This window comes from Homo sapiens, chromosome 15 (assembly GCF_000001405.40).
Source record: "Homo sapiens chromosome 15, GRCh38.p14 Primary Assembly".
Classification (NCBI taxonomy): domain Eukaryota; kingdom Metazoa; phylum Chordata; class Mammalia; order Primates; family Hominidae; genus Homo; species Homo sapiens.
Genome location: NC_000015.10, coordinates 38,038,280 through 38,063,114, shown reverse-complemented (window position 1 = coordinate 38,063,114; position 24,835 = coordinate 38,038,280). Strand labels below are relative to the sequence as shown.

The 24,835-nt window shown below is 40.0% G+C and overlaps 1 protein-coding gene and 1 long non-coding RNA gene across 2 annotated transcripts in view; both read right to left on the bottom strand.

Moving 5' to 3' along the window:
- Positions 1-774: 774 nt before the first annotated feature.
- LINC02345 (long intergenic non-protein coding RNA 2345) lies at positions 775-22,722 on the bottom strand. The gene is made up of 4 exons (NR_120330.1): positions 22,686-22,722; positions 18,440-18,541; positions 3,105-3,220; positions 775-924 (listed from the first exon to the last, which is right to left on the bottom strand). It is a non-coding gene; the product is annotated as a long intergenic non-protein coding RNA 2345 (long non-coding RNA).
- TMCO5A (transmembrane and coiled-coil domains 5A) overlaps positions 22,250-24,835 on the bottom strand; it is a 106,226-nt gene continuing 103,640 nt past the window's right edge. Inside the window, exon 13 of the mRNA XM_047432176.1 lies at positions 22,250-23,119. The gene's annotated coding sequence lies outside the window, so the exon portion shown is untranslated. The remainder of the gene's footprint in view (positions 23,120-24,835) is intronic.

Here is a 24,835-nt window from a genome sequence, read left to right as displayed (position 1 = left end):
GAATTATTAGTTTCTCCTCAGCTTTAATCCACACATCACCATAGAAAACGCAAATGGTGGCGAGTGGGTAGGGAGAGAAGTGGGATCAAAACCGAGTTTCCACTTATTTCCTCTGACAATGGTTATAGTAAAACATTCTGACTAGGAAAAGATTAATCTCCGTTTGCAAAATTAAAAAGAAAACAAAAAACATGTGGAAAATATTATGTTGATGCATGTTTTGCTGAACAGATGGTGACGGTCCACAAACTTCTCAAGGATTTCCCTTCGAGGATGAAAGGAGAGCATTTTAATTTGGCTGAGTAACCTAGAGTCACTGAATCTGTTATGATCTTGTCTGTCTCTTCTTACGGAAATCCTTTTTATTGCCAAATTATGGATTTTTCTTCCAATAATTTTTAACAAATTACTTTAATCTGGAATACCCAATTAGCACACAAATGTGATGTTTCTTTTTCTGCTAGTTTAGTGTTTTTCTACAGGGAACACCTTATCTTTGTATTTTTACATATTTATGATTCTCATTTTGAGTCCCTGAAAGCACATCAGCTATAATGTGGACTGGCCACTTATTCAAATATTTGTTTTACAGCTGGGGAAACCGAGGGCTGGAGGCTTCTGTGACCCTCCTCAACATTTCACAATGAGTCACAGCTGAAGAAACATTAGAAATGGATTTCTTGACTCTGAAGTCATTGACCTTTCACTAGCCTTTTTAGAAACTGTGATTCTTGATGTACTTGAACCTATTTACTTGTGTATTTTCTTTTTTTGTGCTCTCTCTCCTTTTTGAAGAGTCTAAAGAAGACATAGGGAAGAGATTTTCCTGTAGAGATCCCCCTGATTGCTGGTTTCCTTTGAAATGAAACCACAGCTTTTCAAGTAGAACTTCGCAGAGGTTTATAAGAGGAGTCTGCTACACAGCTGGAGGAGGAAGAGGAATGATTGGTTATTAATTTAGCACTGTCCTTATGTCATCAGTCATTTCTTCTATCGGGACATTTTCTTCACTAGAAAAGAAAAAAAACGTTAAAATTAAGGACAGCAAGCAGCGGCTGTTTACCATTGATTGAGGTTTGGAGACAGGTGTTTAGGATTTTATTTACTCTGCTGCTCCCTAATGACTGCGCTCCTGTTTCTTCTTTTTCTGAAAAAACTTTTTTTTTTTTTTTATTTTTCTGAGACAGCATCTCATTCTGTCACCCAGTGCTGGAGTGCAGTGGTGTGATCACAGCTCACTACAGCCTTGACCTCCTAAGCTCAAGCGATCTTCCCACCTCAGCCTCCTGAGTAGCTGGGACAAGAGGCATGCACCACCACACCCACCTAATTTATTTTTATTTTAATTTTTTTTGTAGAGATGGAGGTCGCACTGTGTTGCTCAGGCTGGTCTCAAACTCTGGGCTCAAGCTATCCTCCTGCTGCGACCTCCCAAAGTGCTGGGATTACAGGCTAGAGCCACCGCACTGGGCCTAAAAAACAAAAAACAAAAACAAAAATCTTAACGTATCTGTCCTCTATCTAGACTCATCTAGACTGCCTCCATGAGATAGGCGGCCTTACAGCGATCCAAGTGAATCTGGGCCGGTCTTGTTGATGCTGAGGTTCGGTACCTGGTGCTGATCAGGGAGAGATGACTTTAATCTGCATTGATTTGTAATTCCAATGTACTCCAAACCTCTGAATAGGCCTGGAGACTGTCACCTGGAGCTGCACTAGCTGGCTGATTCTTCTTTCCCTTATTTAATGATCCTTATGGATAATTGGAAGGTTGTCCTAAATACAATGGCCACTCTTCAATTATTGTACACATCCCTTTGGTCTTTATTTTCTGTTTTTATTTCTTCTCTCAAATATTCTTGCATACATTCACACTTTACTCCTATAGTCTCTACTGCAATTCATTGCTTAAAGCTTTCTAACACCAGGAGTAAAAGAAGAAAGAAATGTTCTGCTGCTATTAACATGAGCAGCTCAAAATAAATTTGGAGTGTGAGTGTATTAAAATCCAAACACTCTTATGAATCTCTCTTTCCGTCTCCAATTTAGAGTGAAATATCAGGAAGAAACGAGGAGAAAAGTAGTTGATTTATTAAGTAGTTCAGTAATGCAAGGTGGTTTGCACAGATCATCTCATTTAATCCTCACAACCCTGTGAAGTGATTACTATTATTAGCCTCATTTTGCAGACGAAGGGACTATTAGCTTGTCAGCTCTACTGAGGCAGTACTCTCATCTTTGTATCCCAGGGCCTGGCATGTGATCCTTAGCTCAGTGTTTAATAAGTAATTAATGAATGAGTGGCTGAATTCTCCCCAAATTTATCCATTTTGACCCCTGGATCTTTATCACACCTAGCTTTTCTTTTCCACCTTGTCTTTGAAGTCTTTCTTTCCTCCTTCACTATTTTCCGTTTCTCACCTCTTGCCAAAAAGAGCTTGAGGTGATTCGCAAATATATACATATGTATAAATATACATGTATTATTCAACACTATAAAAAAGAAATGAGGCAATCAGGGAGAGTTTGCACATGTTATTTTTTCGTCTCAGATTTAGCTTCACTTGCCTTGACAAAGAAATATCATTCAAGGTTTTTACTGCGGATTTTCTTACATTTAGACTAAATATATAAGTTGGTTTTCAAAGGTGCTGGCCACATATACTGTTCCCTTGTGTTGATATTTCAATGTCTTATGTCACCTGAGATGGCTTTGGTGAAACATTTCTAGCTGTCCTTCATACTACCCAGTTGCCAGTCAAAAATTAAGCAACTTATATGGGGTCAAAGTTTCAGGTAATTTACCCATCAGATGGTTGTATATTTTCAAACTGTGCTCCAAAGATCTCTGAAAGTTCCATAGAGTTAAGTCAGGACAAACTTGGAGGATAAATTAAGCTCAGACATTGAATAGGGCTCTGGGTTCCATGTCTTTACTTCAAGCAGAGAATCTTTATTTTTATCCTTTTTGTATTTGGGTTCTCTTTTGAAAATTTATTTTCAAAATAAGGATAAAAAGCCACAACTCTACCACTTTATTCCATTTTTATTCATGTCTCATTAAATGTCCAAATCATTAGACTAAGTCCAACATCATGTATTACCTAGTTCTGTTTTCTTTAGAAGCTTTGAAAAATCCATTTCATCCTCTTCCCTTTTATCCAGTATTCAAATATATGCTGACTCTGTAATTTTTCTGTGTCATCTTTTTAATGCCTGGCTTAAAAAAAAGAAGACATGCAAGTGAAATCAAGAAATGACTCAGAGGCCAACATTTATTTAAGGAATTCCTGAGAATGTACTATGTGGTCTGCAGAGACATATGCACATTATACATAATGCACTTGGACTCTCTAAGGTAACTGGAGGTCTTAAAGGCGTAAAATCTAAATATCTTGAAATTAAAACAAAACTCCAGAGCTGCTCCACTTTTAGGTATCAATGGCTCCTGTCTGAAAGGAATTGAATTTGAGTGCTTTTGTGTTGGTCCTGAGGACGAAGGTATTGGTTTCTTAGAAAGTCCATCTATGGTAAAGTATCGCTTCCCTCCCTCTGATCGACAGTCTTGTGTCTCAGTCCTCTTTGTCTCAGGTAATTGATTAGGTTGTCAGTACTTTGCAAATATCTTGCTTAGCCCCAAATACCAACTGCTCTCCACTTGTTTCCTTCCATTTAATTCTCTCGTCTTAAACAACCAACATAGTTTAATTAACCTCATCTTGACTTGCGACAAACTATAAATAAGCTATATTTTCCATGGGTTCCTAGAAGGTCCAGGGCAATAGACTTAGGGACACCCCTGGGAATTTTATAGCAAGATAACCTGGAACCTGTGAGGACAAACAAAAAACAAAAACCAAACTCCATGGTGAGAATAACTAGATTCGGGGAAAACAAAAACAACAAAACAAAACTCCAGAGGGATATGAACTTGCAGCCTGTTTGGGCAACAGGTTCCTAGTTACACATTTTTCAAAACTGTAAAAATTAAGCAAGAAACTCCTTCCACATTGTGGACTATATATACTAGCAAAACCAGCTGTAAAAGCATTCTGAAACTTAGGTTTGGGGTGGAGAGAGAGAAGAGTGTGTGTGCACACGCGAGGGTGTGTGCGGGTGTGCGTGCGAGTGTGCGTGTGAGCATGTGTGAGGTGGATTACGAGAGGAGTGAGAGAGAAGACGGTGATAACTTTTAAGAGGATGATTTGGAAAGTGGCCTGCATGTTAATTAATCTTTAGAAAAGTGCTGAGCCCTGGAAAGTCCCAGACAGTGGAATCTAGCTAAGTTTAGCAATTCAAAGGGCAGCTGTGAAAGGGAAAGGGGGTTCCCAAAGGTCAAAATGCAGACTGAGGAATGTGGAGAAAAAGAACCCTCTCCATTTGTTTTAGGGCTTGGGGAAGGATGAAATATTAAGGTCTATTTAAAATGTACAGATAGTGGCAGGACGTGGTGACTCACACCTGTAATCCCAGCACTTTGGGAGGCTGACGCGGGTGGATCACCTGAGGTCAGGAGTTCGAGACCAGCCTGGCCAACATGGTGAAATCCTGTCTCTACTGAAAATACAAAAATTAGCTTGGCGTGCTGGCACATGCTTGTAATCCCAGCTACTTGGGAGGCTGAGGCACAAGAATTGCTTAAACTTGGGAAATCGAGGCTGCAGTGAGCCAAGATCATGCCACTGCACTCCAGCCTGGGCGACAGAGCAAGACTCTGCCTAAAAAAAAAAAAAAAAAAAAAAAAAGTACAGATACCCAGGTTGTGTTTAGCTTCTCTTGACTCTCTGGCCCTTTTGGTGACATTCCTGTCCACTAGTATCTGCTTGTGTCTCCACCCCTCATCCGTGTGGTACTGGCTTCATAAAACATAAGGGGCATGGTCACCTCTCAATTCTTGTCTTAGGATGGGCAGCTTAGCCTATATGCCAGGCTTACTTGATCAGTAAGCCACAGATATGTGTTTAGCATATGTATTCATATGCCAGGCCCAGTACATGGACTATGAAATGCAACCAGCCTCTGCTGGTGACTTTGGACTGATAATCTTTAAATATCTGTTTTAACTATTATTTAACTGGGGCCATGGAATTGCTTGTGTGATGGGCAGAATTCCAAGGTGGCTCCAATACGCTTGCCCCCGGTATCACTGTGCTTGTTATGTTAGTTTATGTGGCAAAAGAGATTTTGCAGGTATAATTATGGTTATTTATCAGTAGACCATAGAAGAGATTATCAGGGTGGGTCTAATCTAACCATATTACAACTTAGAGTGTTCTCCAGCTGGTCATGGGAAAAAAGTCAGAAATTCGAAGCAAAAGAAGGATGTAAATGCCACTGTGGGCTTTGAAGATGAGGGAGGCGAATGCAAGGAGCAGAGATCAGCCTTTAGGAGCTGTGAGCAACTCCCCACTGAGAGCAAGGAAGGCAGGGACCTCAGTCCTACCAATCATAAGGAAATAAACTCTGCCAACAACTTGAATGAGCTTGTAAGTGGATTCTTCCCCAGAGCCAAGCTTTGATTTTAACCTCCTGAGATTCTATCTAGAGAAACCAGTAGAGACCCTCTGGACTTCTGACTTACAGACTGTGAGATAGTAAATGAGTATTGTTTTAAGATGCTAAGTCTGTAGTAGTTTGTTATGCAGCAGTAGAAAATGAATATAAGGCCGGGTGTGGTGGCTCATACTTGCAATCCTGGAACTTTGGGAGGCCAAGATGGGCAGATTACCTGGGGCCAGATGTTCAAGACCAGCTTGGGCAACATGGCAAAACCTTGTCTCTACAAAAAAAAAAAAAAAAAAAAAAAAGATACTAGCCAGGCATGGTGGCCTGTAGTCTCAGTCTCAGCTACTGGGGAGGCTGAGGTGGGAGGATCACTTGAGCCCAAGAGGTCGAGGCTGCAGTGAGCCGAGATCGTGCCACTGCACTCTAGCCTGGGCAATAGAGCGAGACCCTGTGTCAAAAAAAGACAGTCAGACAAAAAGTCAGACAGACAGAGAGAGAGAGAGAGAAAGAAAGAGAGAAAGAAAGAAAGAAAGAAAAGAAAGAGAAAAAGAGAGAAAAGAGAGAGAAAAGAAAGAAAAGAGAGAAAGAAAGAAAGAAAGAAGGAAAATGAGTATAGCTCATTTCCAGAGTTTCAGTGCAGCCCATAGTTGTACTGTGCAATTTGCAGTGTCATGAGAAAAGGTTTATGAGGAGGTTTTATTTGTTTTTAGTTTAATTTTTTTTTGTTTTGAGGCAAGTTCTTGCTCTGTCACCCGGGCTGGAGTGCAGTGATGCGATCACAGCTCACTGCAGCCTCAATTTCCTGGGCTCAGGTGATCGTCCCACCTCTCAGCCTCTCGAGTAGCTGGGATCACAGGCATGAGCCACCACACCTGGCTAAGTTTTTGTAGTGTGTGTGTGTGTGTGGAGAGAGAGAGAGAGACAGAGAGAGAGGGATGGTGTTTTGCCATGTTGCCCAGGCTGGTCTTGAACTCCTGGGCTCAAGTGATCCTCCCGCCTCGGCCTTCCAAAGTGCTGCGATGACAGGAGTGAGCCACCACGCCCAGCCTTAGCTTAAGTTTTAAAACTTCCATTTGGGCTCTTGTCAGTTTTGTTGGGGGCAGTCTACGGCAGACACCGTTGGCTAAGTATTCCTTGCTTAAGGGACCCTAACTTTTTTCCCCCAGTGCAGATCCTTTGATTCCATGGAAGGTATGCCCAAGTCTAAGGTGAGCAGGCTTCTTATCCAATTCTGGCCAATGAGATTTAAGTAAAAGGCTGTTGAGGGGCTTTGGGAAAAATTTTACTTCTTGATATAAGAGACAGAGGCTGAGAAGAAAAGCTCTGCATCACACTACCACCTGCTTCCTGCCTTCCAAGGTGATGTGATGATGTGCTGCAACCATCTCGTGACTATGAGCAGGAGGCCACGAGAATCACAGAGATGCTGACTTAGGGCCTTGATGCCTTGGAACCAATGCTACTACTCACACCTAGATTTCTGTTAGAGAAAAATATTTTTATTTGTTTCATCTGTAGTTCATTGAGTTTTAATGGTTTATAGCTGAAAGCATATCTAACTGATAGAGAATTTGGGTCCTGGAAGTGGAATACTGCAAGAAACACACTTTTTGTTAGGTCAGAGTGGAGGTTGCGGACTCAACTGTCAGGCAGGAAAACCTTCGGTATAGCAAAATATTTAAGCAACCATTGGCCTGATCTGTCTTATAATGCAGACCACAGGTTGACTAAGGTTAGAGTGGCATGGGAAATGAAAGGAAAAATTCAGGATGTTCCTGTGTGTTGGGTTACTTTAATGGCTGTTAGCAAAAAAAGTCTTACTATGAGAGGCAAACTTAAATTAGATAGGTAATCTCTAATCAGAGAGGGAAGAAAGTATGACTGCTGAGAGAGATGCTTTCTAACTGTGACCTCCAGTCTAAATGAACAGAATTCCATACTTTGTAGGGTTGGAGAAGGTGTCTTTGATATCTCAAGTTAAAACAAGCAGAGGTGGGAAAGTGGCATCTTTAAGACTGATAAAACTGGAGATTTTTTAGCACAAAAACCTGATTGTGTGAGTTAAATACCGAGAGGATTTAGAAGAGCACAGGATCTAGCTGCAGAGAGACAAGGATTCTTAGCCTCAAAGACTGTCTAGACGAGATCTTTAGCTGTGGTTACTAATGCAAGGAATTGACCAGACACAAATAGACGGAATCTACTGAGTTTTTGAGAGGAACTTTATTGCTTAAAGATACTCCAAGCCTCACCAACAACTGCATGTAATTATTGAACCCCAAAGGCAATCTTTAGGTATCTGAATTTGTACGAACACGCAGAGGTTGCTAACATTTGAGAAATTTCTCTTGAATGCTCATTTCAGAAACAGGCATTAAAAATAGTGATTAAGGCATATCTTACTAGAGGGAAGAACCAGAGGCTATGGAAGAAAAATCAGGAGAGTTTCGTCAAGAATAGAACCAGGAATTGTCAGATTGACTAATCAAAGACTGTCTCCATTGAGAGGGCAGGCATTTCTCACTATGTCTTTCTAACAGGATGAAGTATATGCTAGCAAATATTAAAGATTAGTCTTTTCCAACAATTGTATATTAGATATGTTGGAAGCAGGAAACCTGATTTTTGGAGAAAATTTCCACACCTGAAAGAACTTATCTCTGGACCAAATGAAGATCGAACATTGTCTAGAGATACTAGATTTGGATGTGAATGTAGTAGTTAGAGGAATGTCATAGTTTTCCTTCCTTAGGGAGAAGGGTGAGTACACCTAAAAACTGCATGTGTAGGAAGAAGGATGTGTGTGGATGTCAGATTGCCAAAGGGCTGGACTGTGACAGACACTGTGAGCTGGCTACATAAAAGCACTACTTACCCAGCTTTCTTCTATATTAATGATCTTAGTCATCCACCTCCACACTCCCTGCTCCCCACCCCAGCACTTTTTGGACAGAATTCCCTTGATTTCAGGAACAGTGTACTTAGTCATAAAACCTGGTGTGGGCATGTGATCCAAATCTAACCAATAATACAAAAGAAGATGCCTTCTAGAAGTTTCTGAAGGTAAATGGTCCCACTTTTGACATGTTATTAAATTGCTAAACTTACAACAGCAATCACCTAAGTCTAAATTTGTTATGTGAGATGAAATAAATCCTTATTTATTTAAGTCACTATTTTTGTTTATTCTTATTTCTTGTAGGCAAATATTTGTTACAATTATAAATTTACATTTTTATCGTTATGTAAATCAGGGAGTTGCCAACTTATAGTGTGTGGGTCCAGTCCAGTCCACTGCCTGTTTTTGTAAACAGTTTTGATAGAATATAGCCATTCCCATTCATCTATATAGTTGATGGCTGCTTTCACACTACCGCAACAAATTGAGTAGTTGCAACAGAAACCACACAGCCTGCAGAACCTAAACAAATTCCATCTGACCCATTATAGAAAAATTTGTCAACTCCTGCTCTAAAGAGTCACATATAGAAATCAGTTTAAGTGGGATAAAATATCACTTATTTTAATAATATTTTAGTACAGTCTCTCCCAAACTTGCCAAGCATATGAATCAGCTGTAGCCTTTGTCATACTTACGTATTTCAAGATCCTGAACTAAGTCTACTGAATCAAAATATTCAGTGGCGAAATCTGGGAATCTGTATTATTAACAATTTCCCCACAAGAATCTTTTGACCAGGCAAGTTTGGAAAATGCTGTTATAGATTGGTGTCATGGGCAGCTGCTTATCTGGCCCGCCATTGAATTTATAACTAGCTCCTGCCTGTAATTCACTGAAAGAGTGCTGGTATGACCAGGAGACTGAATAAAGATTCTCTGAGATCACAGAGGCTTGCTTATGAAATGAAATACAGTGAATAGGAAGATTTTGATGTAGTAAAAGTTGCATCAGCTCTGGAAATGAGAAACCTGGGTTCAGGTTCTAAATCAGCCTCTAATTAATTATTTGATCTTGGGCAAGTTTCTCTCTAGAATCTAAGATTCTCAACTGTAAAAACCTCAGTAGGAGGGGATGTCTCCAAGTTGCCTTTTTAGATATATGAATGTCAGACTCAGAAAGTAGGAAGTGCCTAAGGAAGAAAGACAAATATAGTTTCTCTGTTTCTTGAAATTCTTGTCTTCTTGATCAGGGTTCCTCAATCCTGGTTGAACATTAGACTCACTATAGAGCTTTAAAAACACGAGTGCTGTAGGTCTTACCCAGAGAGTCTGATTTCATCAGCTGGGAGGAGAGCCTAGCCATTAAAATAAAAGCTTTCTAGATGATTCCATGTGTTCAGTCAGATGGAGAACCACCATCTAGACGATAATGGATTCTTTTTTTCTATTTCCTAGTCAAGGGTTATGTGTACATACTAGTTTCACCATTTGGGAAACACAGTAAGTAAGAAGAGAAAACAAGATCAGTAGTTCTCAAATACTGGTGAGTCAGGAAGGCTGCAAAAAATTATGAGGAGAGCCTGCTAAAAAATATAGCTCTGTAGGCTCCACCATTAGATTCTGCTATAGCAGCTCCAGGGCCAGGAAATCTATATATTTTTTAATTCCTCAGGTCCTCCTAATACACAACTGGTTTGGGAACCATCGGGCCCAGTGATCTCTGATGCTCCTTCCAACTTGTAGGATGTGAATTTCTGTGCTTAGTTATATAAGAGGTAAGTCACAATTTTAAGAATATTTTAAAAAGGCAATTGGTACTTCAAGATTAAGATATTATAAAAGGAATGTTATCAGCCAATAGGAATGGGCCTCAGTCAGGTGCTCGTTGATAAAAATTTGCTTACCTGTTTTACCCTCTCAGAAAGAGACATAATGATGTGCCCAAACAGTTTAATTATTTGCCCTCGGGAGTACTTGAAAAGGTTCTTCCTTTGGCCTCTTTATTTGCAACTGTAAGTTCTAGTTGAAAAGAACTAAAACGCTTCTCTCAAATGAGTTAGATGTAGTTTATCAAACTATGTATTATATACAGCAAATTGCAAATGAAATAAAGTATGGTCACAATCTGGTCTTGTATTTACTATTAATCCCTTTAAATTCTGGTGTTAATAATTCCATGCACTCATTCATTCTTTTGTTCATTTAGTCATTCACTCAGTAACGAATTTAAAGTTCTAACTATGAGCCAGGAACTGTTCTAGGCCCTGGGGATGGGGACACAGCAGCGAACATGAGTCTCCTTCCTTTCAAAGCTTACATTCTACTTGGGAAAGTTGGTAATAAATAACTAAAGTATTACATGATGTTAATTGTTAAGGAACATAAGACAATGTAAGGTGATAGAAAGTGGCAGGAGCTGGATGACAGTGTTATTTTTTATAGGTAATCAGGGAATGCTGCTCTGTTATGGTAATATGTTAGCAGAGACCTGAAGAAAGTTAGAGAAAAGTCATGGTGATATCTGGGGAAAGCGTATTATACAGAGGAAACAGCCAGTGCAAAAGTCCTGTGGCAGGAAGGTACTGGGTATGATCTAGGATCAGCAAGTGGCTACAGTGGCTTGCATGGAGTGAGTAAGGGTGGGATGTTGGAGATGGGTCAGAGAGTAGCAAGCCGTCATCATGGGGGCTTGACAGGCCAATTTTAAAGGCTTTGTATTTAACTCTGAGAATCAAGGGTGGATCCAGGATTTGTAGGGTTTGAAGCTTATAATCCTGAGGCTTTCTATAAGTAAAAGAATACAAAATTAGCTACGAACCTAATACTTATTTGGAATGAAAAAAATCATAATAATATCAGTTTTAAAAGATACTACACATACCACAAAATCCAAAAAAAAAACCCAAACCGTAATAATTTTACTAACTGTGACACCTCTCTGTATTACTTTTTTCTCCTTTTTTTTCTTTAAAGGTATAAACAAAGTTAGTTGCATTACTTTTTCCCTCTTCATTAGTTTACACTGAAATAACTGATTATTCATATTATTTTCTAACATCATTTTCTATAGGAAGAACTGAAGATAATTCAGTCTTTAGCTTGTTGGGACAAAATTTATCTTTTTATTGTTGATTTCATGGAAAAAACCTTCTTTAATTTTATAACTCATTACTGCTAATGCTATGTATGTTTTTTAGAATTGTCGTCAATTTGAGAAAACTTTTCTCAACTTTCTTTCTTTATATGACCATAAGATTTGTAAGAATTTTCTGTGTACTCGCTTCTGGCTGCATATATTTCAACCCCCTTTTCTCCTCTACTAGCCACATATTTCTGGTATGATGAAGACAAGTTCTTATTTTATAATCTCAGGCTGTGAACTTTAATGTCACAACATAGATTGGTACAGAGAATGGCAGAAGTATTCCTGGAAGCCATTCCAACACCAGGAAAATTTTTACACTGAAGTAACTGTGAACCACAATAATACATCCTACTAACCCAAACTAAATGCTTCTCCAATTCAACTTCTCCTTCCCTGGGCCCTAAAGTGTCTGTCTATTCTCACACCACTTGACTTAAAGAGAAATGTGACAGAGGGAAATAAGCAATAAAGAGCTTTGGTAAAAATATCTCATATTTGCAAATTTTAAAAAAAAATGACCACATGAGCACATTGCCAGAGCCCCTTCCAGGGCCTTGGAAGAGCCCTGTGCAATGAGGGGCCCTCAATCTGCAGATTTATTAGCTTCAAGAATGATCAACCTCTGGTGAAATGTGAAGTCACTGGAGGGTTTTGAGCAAAGTATTAACATGACCTAATTTCTGTTGTAAAAGGATAATTTTTTCTGGGGAGTAGAATATAGGGGAGCAAGCCTGGAAGCAGAGAGACCAGTCAGAGGCCTGAAGTTTAGGTTGCAAAAGAAAAGCAAAAACGCAGACATAACTCATTCTGGGTGTTCTAGGAAAGCTGACTCGATTACTCATTAAGCTATTGATTTCCTAACAATTCATGCCTGCCTGTGTCAGCTTTGTTTCCTTTCTTAGCTACTGTTGAGTCAGCAATTGTACAGCATTCTCTTGATCTTTTCTCTTCTCATTGTCTTTAAAGTTCAAGTTTTATCAACAATATTTTTGTTATTATAGCGATTTCTCTTCCTATTTGCTGCTGCCTAGATGCCTACAGTGCTGGGTGAATGATAGGCCTTTACCTACACTATTTCAGTTCACAGTATCATTGCTATCTGTGTCTGGGTTGAGAACTTCCCAGGAGAACTCTTTCCTATTATTTAGAAACCCTTTAGAACCTGGTAATTTATCACTTCATATTATTGTATATCCCTTTGCCTGATGAAGAACTATCCAACTCACATCTTCAAGGCCTTTAGAGTTTAATAATTTTATTACATTTTGGGGGAAGTTAACTTTATGTTGTGTTGCATTAGAACAGGGATTGGCAAACCTGTTTTATAAAGGGCCATCCAGAAAATATTTTAGACTTTGTGCACCATATGGTCTCTGTCAGAACTACTTAACAATACTATTATAGCAGCAAAGCAACTATAGACAATTACGCAAACAAATGAGAAAATGGCTGTATTCAATATACTTTTATTTACATAAACAGGCCTCAGGGCCGGATTTGGCCTGCAGGTTGCAGTTTGCTGACTCCTGCTTTAGCAATTTCCTCTAGCTGTTTCATGTTATGTGTCCCAAATCTTAATCTCACGTCACCCCATGAGTCTAGAGTCTCCGTCTTTAAAATGAGGACCCTAATATATGTCCTGTGTGCTACATAGCATTGTTTTAAGGGTCTAATGAGACATTAGTTATAGAAATCTGCTAAAATTTTAAAGTGGCATATGTCTGTATATTTCTTTCTCTTTCCTACCACCCTACAACACATTTCCCTGCCTCCCACTCCACCTAAAACACATGTATAAACATTCAATCACAGAGGAAAATTATGGCTTGTTATCTTATTCTTCTCCTGAGCTTTGTGGTGAATGCTGGCTTCCCCAAACATCACCAAACTACCTATAATGGCACAAAGCTGAGTTTGTTCTTACCATGGTAAGAGAGACCATAATGTAGACATAGTCTTAACAGAGCCTCAAAAGAGGGAAGGCAAAGTCAGGAAATTTATTGAAATTTTAGAGACTTAGAGACTCATCTAGATGAAAGTGGGTCTTTCAACGCAGGGCTTGGTTAGAGTTGGATATGGATTATGATACAACAGGTTAGGGTTAATGGACACAATGAGGTGAGAATTCTGACGAGGGGTTCAAAGAGTCTTGGGGTATACATTATCATTTAATGCTTTCTATTGAAAATTGATTGGTATTTCAGGAAGTTGCTGGAATAAAAAATAAATTCATTTTTAACTTTTATTTTTATGAGCAAATTTCCTGGAATAGTAAAATTACGTTTATGACCACTTTGAAGTAGTAAAGTCATGTTAATATAGTCAGTAAGCTGTGTGGATGTAGATGATTTTGATTTTGTCTTAAAAAGAATATTGGAGACATTCTGTGAGAAAAAGACAAGGAAACGTAGATAGGATTGCAGGTTTTACTTAGCAAAGAGCAGAGAATAACTAGCAGAAAAGAAGACAATGCTATAGAGAAGAGGGGAAGAAGGGGCCAGGATGTAAAGGGTGTGTCAGCCAAAGTTTAAGGAAAATTTTGAAATAGAAGAGAAACTTTGGGGGACTAGAAACTAGGATATAAGTTATGGCAAGAATGTCAAAAATCAGAAAAGAGAATATTAAACCTATCAAATATAAATTGTTTCCAATTAGTTGTTCTGGCTGCACAGTTTTATTTTCATGTGCAAATCTGTCTGAAGACTGAAAAATATGTGGGCCTGCTTTTGAGGAGGTTACTTTTTTATTAAAAGAATATGTACATTTTCTTAGCAGAAAATTTTAAATGTGTACATAAATAACCAGAAGAAAGAAAGATAACTCTTAATTGGAAGGTGAAATTCCAATGAATATTAGTAGTCAAAAGTCCAGAGAAATAAGAAAACTGACCTTCATTAAAAGTAAATAATAATTTCTTGGTGGGGGAAGAGTGGAGTGCAGACATGGGACAGTGACAGAAGAGAAGGGAGAGGATAAATTAAGAGCATGTTTGGAGGCTGTTGGCTGTTTTGTGGGAAATTGTCAAAGGCCATAGCATTTTTAGGAAGCAAAATATTGATCTTAAATCTTAATTTTTTTTAATTGCTGTGATATTGCAGAGTTTAGGCCAACTACAAAGTAGAGGCTATAGCACCCACGACTGTTCTCACTTCTGATACCAGCTAAAAGTTCAGGGGGTTCCCAAAACCATCCTCAGGTTTGATAATTTGCTAGAATGACTCACAGAACTCACTGAAAGCTATTCTACTCATAGTTATGGTTAATTACAAGGAAAGGATACAGATTAAATCAGCCAAGGGAAGAACACATATGTTGTTTTCAGCCCATGAAGGCAGAACACATCACTCTGCAGGCACTGATGTGTGACAGTACCCATGGAGAATTGCCAACTAGAGAAGCCCGTCTGAGCCTCAGTGACCAGAGTTATTACTGGGGCTCTATTTAGTAGACATGATTGATTGCATACGTATTTGATCTCAGTCTTCAGGTTGATTGTTACTGTGTTACCCAAAGGCCCCACTTTATGTCACATTGTTGATCTATTGCCAGCCCTTGTCCTAGGACTGTATGGTTGTGGTCACCCCCTACCCTAAATCCCATTGTTAAGACCATCCAGTATGACCTAAGGCCACCAGGCAAGCAAACACCCTCCCATCAGGAGGGCCCAGGGCATAGGCCAGATCTTTTCTTTGAGAAAAGCCAAATTCTTTGTTATACAGCTACAAATCCCTTTTATTACCCCTCCTTCAAGAATGACTTCTTCACCCATAGGAAGAAAAAATCATTCGCAATCCCATCAATTTGACTGAAACACTTTGAGATGGTTTGGATTTGTGACCCCACCCAAATCTCATGTCCAATTATAATCCCCATGTTGGAGGAGGGGCCTGGTGGGAGGTGACTGGATCATGAGGGTTGATTTTCCCCTTGCTGTTCTCATGATAGTGAGTGAGTTCTCATGAGATCTGGTTGTTTAAAAGTGTATAGCACCTCCCCCTTCCCTCTTTTCCTCCTGCTTCAGCCATGTAGGATGACCTTCTTCCCTTTCATCTTCCGCCATGATTGTAAGTTTCCTAAGGCCTCCCCAGCCATGCTTCCTGTACAGCCTGTGGAACTGTGAGCCAATTAAACCTCTTTTCTTTATAAATTACCCAGTCTCGAGTAGTTTTTTATAGCAATGCAGGATCAGACTAATACACACTTTAAATATTTTGGCATAGATTCTCCTAGATATATCTTAGGTAGTTTAGGTATAAAAATGTTAACTCACCTTTTTTTTATTGCTCTGCAACTTCTTGATAAAATGGATAGCTATTAACATGAGTCAGAAAACTAATCAGGAAAATACAATTGTCAAATGGGAGAGTTAGATGAGACCTTAGACTTCCTCTAGTCTTTTGGAAAGGTGAAGTGGTTTGTTCAAGACCAATGGAGTCAATGAGACAGAGCTGAATCAAAATTTCAGGTTCAGTGACTTTTCCCTTGCAACAAAGGGAGGCTCAAGAGACCTTGTTTTGGAACCAAAGGATGTTATTGAACCTTTTGAAAAGAGGGTTGCTTTGTTGCTAAATGGCAAGAAATCCCTAATGCCTTTTTGATTGATTTGATTTTGCCCCAGAATTCAGGATGTTTTCCAGATCCATATGTTAAAGTTTGTCAAGAAGACAGCTACTCAACTGCTTGCATATTTTTCTGATTAGCTGAGTTACATATGCTGCTGAAATAGTCAACTGGATTTCATGTTGTTGATAGAAGCAGCATGGTATCTAAAATTAAACACTATCTGTACCTCTCTAGCACTTTGAAAAATTTCCCCTTCCATTCGCTGCTTCCTTGTCCTTCTTAGAAAGCTATTAAATTTTATGTTTTTCAGATTCAAACCTGCAACGTAGTTGTCAGCTGCTTTCTTATTCCCCATCTCCAAAATTTCTAAACACTTAATTGACTTCTTTTTATGTGGGTGTGTGTCAGGGTTGGAGATTGTTAATTAATGGAAAATGGTTTAAAAAGGGGCCAGGACTTACTCTTCTGTCACACAAGCCTGTGAGTTGGGAGGGGGAATAAGTGGATGCACTCATTTTCATGAGTCAGAGCAACATTGTGGATAGACATAGTAGGTAAAAGATTGCTAGATCTCATCTCATCGGATGGAAATGACCTGCTGTTCCAAACCATTTCCACTCTATTGCCTAGATTTGCCTTAGCTATGACATGAGCAATGAGCAAATCATTTCAGTTAACTGGAGATCTGTTTTAAAAATGCAAAATGCGAGCATCCCTTAGGGGAATTTTTGTACCTTAGAGCACCCTCAGTTTGATTTTGTCTTTTGTATACTTAACTAAAGTCAGCTGCAGTGAAGAGATACAATTCTGATGAAATACACTTGGAACTTGATGTGGGGTCAGGCATAGGGTAGGACATCACAGGTATTCAGGAATGCTAGAGAAACTGGAGATCAAGGAGGATGGTTAGGGAAATGGAGAAGAGGGGGCCCTTCGTTTCTTCATTTAGTGTAGTTCTGAAGTGTGAGCTTAATGGAGCATCAAGATGGAGTATTTGCACAGGGGTCGACACATGTCTTTTCAACTACTAAGAGGAAAAATGTTGTAAATATTGGTAAAGTGATAGAAAAGGCCAAAGTGAGAGAAATCAGCTATGTACATTATGAAGTACAAGTTTTAATTTTATTGATTCTCTAAATGCATAGAAATAAATTTTAATCTAGAAATACAGAAAATACAGACAATTGAAGTCAGTGGTGGAAATTTTCAATGGGAAATTTTGGGGTGCTAGAAATTTAACTCATTGGGGTGTTGGTTACAGGAATGTGTGCATCGTCAGTAGTTACTGAAGTGGACCCTTAAGATACATGTTTTTCTCCATGGAAATTATTCCTAAATACAACTAGTTAACAGCAGCAACAATGACAAAGTGGTTGTGTCAGTCAGGATCTTGGCAGGAAACAGATATCCACTCAGTTGGGTAATTTGAAGAGTTTAATAAAAGGCCAATTTATGAAAGGGTCAGTAGGATGTAGCACCCCAGGACTGGAAACCTGAGTTTCCATTATAGAAGGGAGCAGTCACCAGAATGCAAAGACAGAGAACAATGCATGGAGAAGACCATTTGGCAGAAGCTGTAGGGATTCAGCCAGTACCTAATAACCCTATGGTGAGAGAACTGGAGGAATAAATACCCTAACCTCAGACTCTTCCCTCCTTCCTTCCTACCAATCTCCCCCTTAGATGAACCCAACTAGAAGCCTGAGAGCAAAGAGGCCCAAAGATGTAGTCTATACAGATCAGCTTGGCAGGGCACAGAGCAGGGTGGAGAAGGATGGAGAGGAGATTGGAGGGAGAATCAGAAGATATCCAGCAGAATGTTTTCCATTTTCCTGGAATCACTTCACTCCAAGTGTGTATGGTAATTCTCCCAAGTGTAAATAATATAAGTAAGACAAGGTTGTAGTATTTAAAACATTATACTGAAAGTTTGAGGATAACAGGGGTTTCCAATGAAGCAAAAGCAAATTTAAAGCCTCACATCAGCTATCACAGATCCATTAGCCATGCTTCATGCAGGGAGTTCCTCACTGCCTTCCTCTCTCTTCAGTCCCTAGTCATGTCGTGGTGAAAGGGCCAGTCTACCTTACCAGTGGTAATTTTCTTGACCTCTTTTCCCAAGTCCAAAATCTGACCCACTGAATGGATCCCCAGTCAACCCCCCAACAGAGAGGGATTCTTTCCTTTTTTTCCCCCCTGCCTCTTTTTTTTTTTTTTTTTTTTTTTTAACCTAGGATGATCAATAGTGGCAATATCCATTTCATTTGGGGAAACCACTATCTTCACTATAGGCAATGGTCTAGCCATAGTATATATAGCTCTTACCGGCTGTAGCCAGAGTAGTAGTGTCTTGAGGTCCAAATGAATTGGAGAATAAGGAGTCATGTCAAGGTTGAGAACATCCAGAAAGCCAAGCAAGACCAGGGCCTAGAAGAAGGGAACATGGGCCAGGACTGTTATGCTAAAGGTCTTTGGGTAGGTATCCAGGGGCCTCTCAAAAGTTCCACATTGGAAGATCTTGGATTGAATTCCACTTGCCAGCTATGTGGCTTCGGGCAAGTGACTTAATGACTGAGCTGTAATTTGTCTCTCTTCCCTTCCCTTCTTCCCTCCCCTCCCCTCCCCTCCCTTCTTCCCTCCCCTCCCCTACCCTTCCCTCCCTCCCTTCCCCTTCCCTCCCTCCCTTCCTTCCTTCTTTTTCTTTAAAAATAGGGATATGAAATGTACATGAAAACACTTTGTAAAACTGTGTGGTCCAAATGAACATAAGCTCTTCCTTTCTAGTGATTGTCCATCTTTTTCTGTTGTCACAACATTCACATGTATAATGCAATGTCATACAATAATTTCCAAGGGCAAAGCAAGGACTGGGGGTTTGGGAATATGTGCCTAGAGATATATTGTAAGTGGGAGCTTGGTTAGTTGAAAAAGCTTCTCATAGAGATTTTAATGAGGCTACTCACCACATCACCCTCGACTGGGTCATATGGAGTTGAGAGTTGCTTTGAGACAGAGGTTACAAACTTGTGTGGGTTGAAAGGTCCAGAAGATATGGCTTGTTTGGCTTTCATAGAATTGTCAAGTTGCTGAATTAGTTGTCAAAATTTTAAAATCAGGATATTTCACAGGTACAAAAACCTCATCATATTTCTGCCTTCTCTTGTAATACAGAATTTCTGGCAAAACCAAGTCTAGATTCTTCAATGCCAAAATTCTACTGGAGCTAAATAGTGGCTGTCTCTTTAGATGCAGCATGAATCCTCCAGCTGGTGTCACCTATTTGTGTCACGTGCCCTCTTGGTAATTGGGTTTGCCATCCTTGGCGTTCACTATCATGGAATTGTTGATACTGGAACTGAAGGGGACTTCAGACTGTCACAGGGCCCTGACTTTGCTTTTAGTCAGGTCAGGATTTAGTTTCTCTATTTAACAGCAAAAGCCTCCTGGCTTAAATGTTCTGCCTAACCTCACCCTGGTGGGGGCGAATGGGGACAAGCAGGCAATGGAAGAAATGGATCAGAATGAGGTCAGTTTTCTCCCAGTGAAGGGCTTTTCCCTACACTCATGCTTGTTCTCACCAGCAGATTATAATTTCTGAAGGCCCGTCAGTGGATCCATTGTGGGGAAAGGGAATCCTTAGATGAGAGAGGCTCCTGGAACCTCCCTGCAAGGTTCCACCAATGGTACACACACCAGTGTTCTCGTGGATGACCTTGAACCTGGACGCCCAGCCCTGGCCATCAAATGCCAGCCTCTCAGGAAGGACTGTGAGCTGGGAGCCGCCAGCATCCTTGACCCCCTGGCAGGGATCCCAGGCTGAAGAAACCCTCTGTGTTTTGTTGTGGGATGGGGAAGAAAGATAAGGCTGGGGAAGGAGGGAAGAAAAACAGGCACAGAGAGAATACCTTTTGTCTTTTCCTCCAGAAGTTGAGTTTTTGTGTGTCTGTGCCACATGTATGCAGTGAGATGTTCATTTTCTTTCTTGTTTTCCAGTTGTGGGATTGGTGTGTTGCCCTAATGCTGCTTGTTTTGGCTGCCAGAGGAAGTAGTGACAAAGGAAGTGGGAGAACAAACAATTTTGTAAGCAGCCAGCCTGAGAGGAACAATAAAGCAGAACTGCAGACAGGGTGTTGGGCTTGAGATTCTCTGAGACTGTTCGGCACCAGCATCCCTGAAGGTGGGGCCTCGGAGGAGGAGTGGGAACGTGGGGGGAATTTTAGAGCTAGAAGAGGTTGCAGTGATCACTCCAGAGAGATGTGTCGAGCTATGCTTTGCGACTGTGACCACAGGCTTTAGTTAGATGCCTTCTGTGGGCTCAGCTTCCCCACTGCTCCTCCTCTCCCATCCTCCCACTGTGTCATATACTGGGGCAATAGGCATTTTCCAATGAGGAGATAGTCTATACCAGGAAAATGTCTTTGTTTAGTGGGGGAGATTAAAAATAAGAAGAGGATACATGACTATGAAGAGGACCCCATAATGTGAACATTGCAGAAACATTTGGTTTTATCCTTGGTCATATCTTTAGGAATTTTAAAAACATAGTAGCACCCAAAGATTGTTAAAATTCCTAGTGATAGTTCAGTGGAATCTGAAAAGAATCCTATTTCACTTTACATTTTTCTCAAGACTAGCTAGGAGTGAAAGGAGACTTTGCATACATTCAAGGGATGGTGCCAAAGAGCTTGAGCTTGATTGAGAATGGTCACTGCACAGATAGTATCCTGGGGATGTGGTTGGAGAAGCCCTCTTTACCATAGATTTCTTAGAAATTTGGTCAAAACACGTCAGAGCTGGCTAAGGTGCAGTCCTTGCTCAAGGGGACAGAATGGCTTACCCTTTTACTTTTCACCAAAGGGCTATGAAAATGGATGAAGTTCCTAGTTTAGATGACTGCTGGGAGCCATGAAGCAGTGGGACCTTCACTTTAGCTTAACCGGCTCCCTGGACCTCTGGGAATGAATGTGCCTAAAATGGTGATTTTTTTTTTTTAAAAGGATATTCTGCAGCTAAGAAAAAGGCCTATCTTTTTCTCTGGTGAAACCTTAGGAAGTCACCCAGATATTAGGTAACAGCACTGAATGAAAAGGTGTATTGTTGTATTTGAAATCCCTAGATTGCTTCGAGGGATATAATGCACTTTTATTTTTTTCCTTCTTCCATTAAGTGATAAGGGATGGGAACAGAGCAGGCATCAACTAGAACACTAAAGAAGTTACAGGAAATACCACTGCCTTGTAAAACTGTAGCACGTCTGCAGCAGTTAAATGACTCAGATATGTAAAGCCTCTGGTTAGTTACTGTTTCTCAGGATAAAACCTTTCCATGTGGGTCTGGGCAGTAGGGTATATGGAAGTGCCAGGTAGGTTGGATGGAAAGGGAACTTATAAATGGGCATGTCAATCAATGTGTAAAATACATCTCTATATTAGTATCAGTTTAAACTTACCTGTAAACTGGTATTAGCAGGTGTCTTTGTCTGGCTAAGATTTCTGGCTCTATTAGCTCTCTAGATCCCTGCTGAACCTCACCTTAAAAAGCCGGTATGCTTTTGCTTAAAGGTATCTGGAGCTGTTGCCTGTTAAACTACACAGGAGAGGATAGCCTTAGTGCTGTCTGTTAAACTTTCATATTCTAAAACACAGAGTAATTTTGGAAATTATTGTTTTATCAAACCATACCAGTACCTATTTAATATTTGAATTAATGAGGGAAAAGGAAGAGATCTTCATCAAAAAATGTGGAAATGGATTCTGGCACATGTTATGGCAAAACTAAATTATTTTTGCTGGGCCCTTGGGAAAACCACTTGTCATCTATGTACAGTACCTGGTTTTTGCCTCTCCGTGTGTGTACTATGAAGAGATCTTACTGCAGCATAGATTTTCTGAGATGATCCTAATTTTGGATATTTATAGTTCTTACACATCATTTAAATGCCAGAGAAATGTGAATATTTCAATATTTTAGTATCTAAGCAATATGTTTTAGATTTAATTTTTCATGACAAAACTTGTGGGTCTTTTTTGTTTTTTAATAAAAAAAGATTTACTGAGATATAATTCACATGCCATAATAGTCGCCCATTAAAAATTGTTAGTATTTTCACAGAATTGTGCAACTATCACCACAATCTAAATTTGGAACATTTTATTATCCCATAAAGAAAGCTCTTACCCATTAGCATTGTTCCCCACTTTTCCCTTCCCACAGCCCTTGGCAATCCCTGTTCTACTTCCAGTCTGTAGATCTGCCTATTCTGGACATTTTGTATAAATGGAATCATGCAAGCTGTGGTCCTTTGTGACCGGCTTCTTTCTTTTAGCATAATGTACTTGAGGTTCATCCATGTTGTTGCATGTCTCAGCATTCCATTTCTTTTTATTCCTGTTTAATGTTCCATTGTATGGTTATACCACATTTTATTTCTCCATTCATCAGTTGACAAACATTTGGCTTGTTTCCACCTTTTGGCTATTATGAATAACACTGCTACGAACACTCACATACATGTTTTTGCACGGACATATATTTTTATTTCTCTAGGGAATGTACCTAAGAGTAAACTTACTGGGTCATATGGCGACTCCGTTTGCCTGCAGAAGAATGGGACTGTGATTCCTAGAGAATGCCTCCAAGACTTGCAGCCTGGGTGACCGCTTCAGTGTCTGTGGAGCCCTCATGGTCAAGACGCCATTGTGGAAGTTGTAGCAGGATGGACCTTAAGTATCCCCATTGTCCCAGCCTCCTGATGTTTACTTCTTTGTCATATCTCCTCCCTCTGACCTGGGTGGGGACTGTAACTTGCTTCTGACCAATTGAATATGAATGGGACGTCACTTTGTTGATTATGTTACATTACATAGGGCTCTGGTAGACTGGAGACTCTCCTTGTGCCTTGATGAAGTACACAGCTATGCTGGAGAAATCCATGTGGCAAGGAACTGCAGGTGGCCCCTGGAACCTGAGGACAGTCAGTGAAGAGCTGAGGCTCCAGTTATGTAGCTGCAAAGAGATGAATTCTGTCAACAACTGGGATGAACTTGGAAGTGGATTTTTCCCTAGTTGAACCTTTGATGAGAATGTGGCCCAGCTAATGCCTTGATTGCAGCCTTTGAAACTGAGCAGAGGACCAGCTAATTCGTGCCCAGACTTCTGACCCACGAAGACTGAGATAATAATATGTGGTGTTTGTGTAGCTAAGTTTGTGGCAATTTGTTATGCAACATTAAGAACAGTCGAGAATTTGGTTCCATTATATAATCTGGGCTGGATGCCACTGAGTTTACTTGTCAAGGCAAATATTCTGTTTACTTATCAGTATGATTATCACAAAAGATAAACTGCCATGGAAGTTCAAGTATGTGCTTGGTTGCTATAGAGTAATCTATACCTGTGGGGTATACTCTAGAATGAGAAAATAGGGATGGCAGAAGTAAGAAACAGAGTTCCACTCTGTCTGCTTGACTCATATAGGAGTCTCTACAAATCCTGTTCCAAAAAGAGTCACTAAAAGATCAGAACACAAGAGGAACGATAACTTATGTAATGAGAGCTACTATTTATTAGGGACTATGGGACTGAGAGGATATGCATGAAATTGAGGCCATGCCCTAATATAGCTTATGTTATACTGTAGTTATAATTTACTTAGCTCACTGTGAAGCTATAATCTTGAACTTAACATTCGTTTTCTCTTACACTTCTTTAGCCAAATAATAGCAAAACAAGCCCAGCCTGGTGAACACCACTTCTATTTTTGGAATTTACTTAGGATGATTCCATTTTTCTTAGTCATCCATATCTATATTTAACAGCCCTACACTCAGAATTTTAACTTATAGCTTATTTAAATCTATTAAATTAAATCTATTCTATTAAAACCTGCATTTTTTCCACCTGCCTCTAGACAGATGGAAACAGCTGATGATGTGAATCTCTTGACTGTCCTTGTCATATCATTTTGTCTTGTTACATTTAATTCCTGACTGACTTAAGTGAGGAGAGTAAGGTGGATCTTATCCTGTAGCAGAGGGATACATGTGGAATGTCCTCCACTTCCTTGGTGATCTGACTTTAATTTCAAGCACTGTAGAGATGACTCAGTGTGCAGTAACTAATATGAAAAGTCGTGCTGCTTATAACATACAGTGAGTAACTATTACCAGACTCACCTCAGATGACTTGGAAGTTTCCTAGTTGGGAGAATGAAGCAATTTAAAATTGATGGGAAATGAATGTCTGAAACCCAGTAGAGTAAAAGTTTCAAGCATCACTGAAATTTTCATCTTCCGAGGCCGGGTGTTGTGGCTTATGCCTGTAATCCCAGCACTTTGGGAGGCCGAGGTGGGCAGATCATGAGGTCAGGAGATCGAGACCATTCCTGGTTAACATGGTGTAACCCCATCTCTACTACAAATATAAAAAATTAGCCGGGCGTGGTGGTGGGTGCCTGTAGTCCCAGCTACTCGGGAGGCTGAGGCAGGAGAATGGTATGAACCCGGGAGGCAGAGGTTGCAGTGAGCCGAGATCGCAGCCACTGCACTCCAGCCTGGGCGACAAAGCGAGACTCCGTCTCAAAAAAAAAAAAAAAAGAAATTTTCATCTTCCATATCTCATACCAGTAGATACATAACAAAGCAAAATTTTGTTCTGCTGAGGATAGAATCAACTGTGGTTCCCCTTATATTTATTTATAGCAGTGCCATCGTCCCATCATAG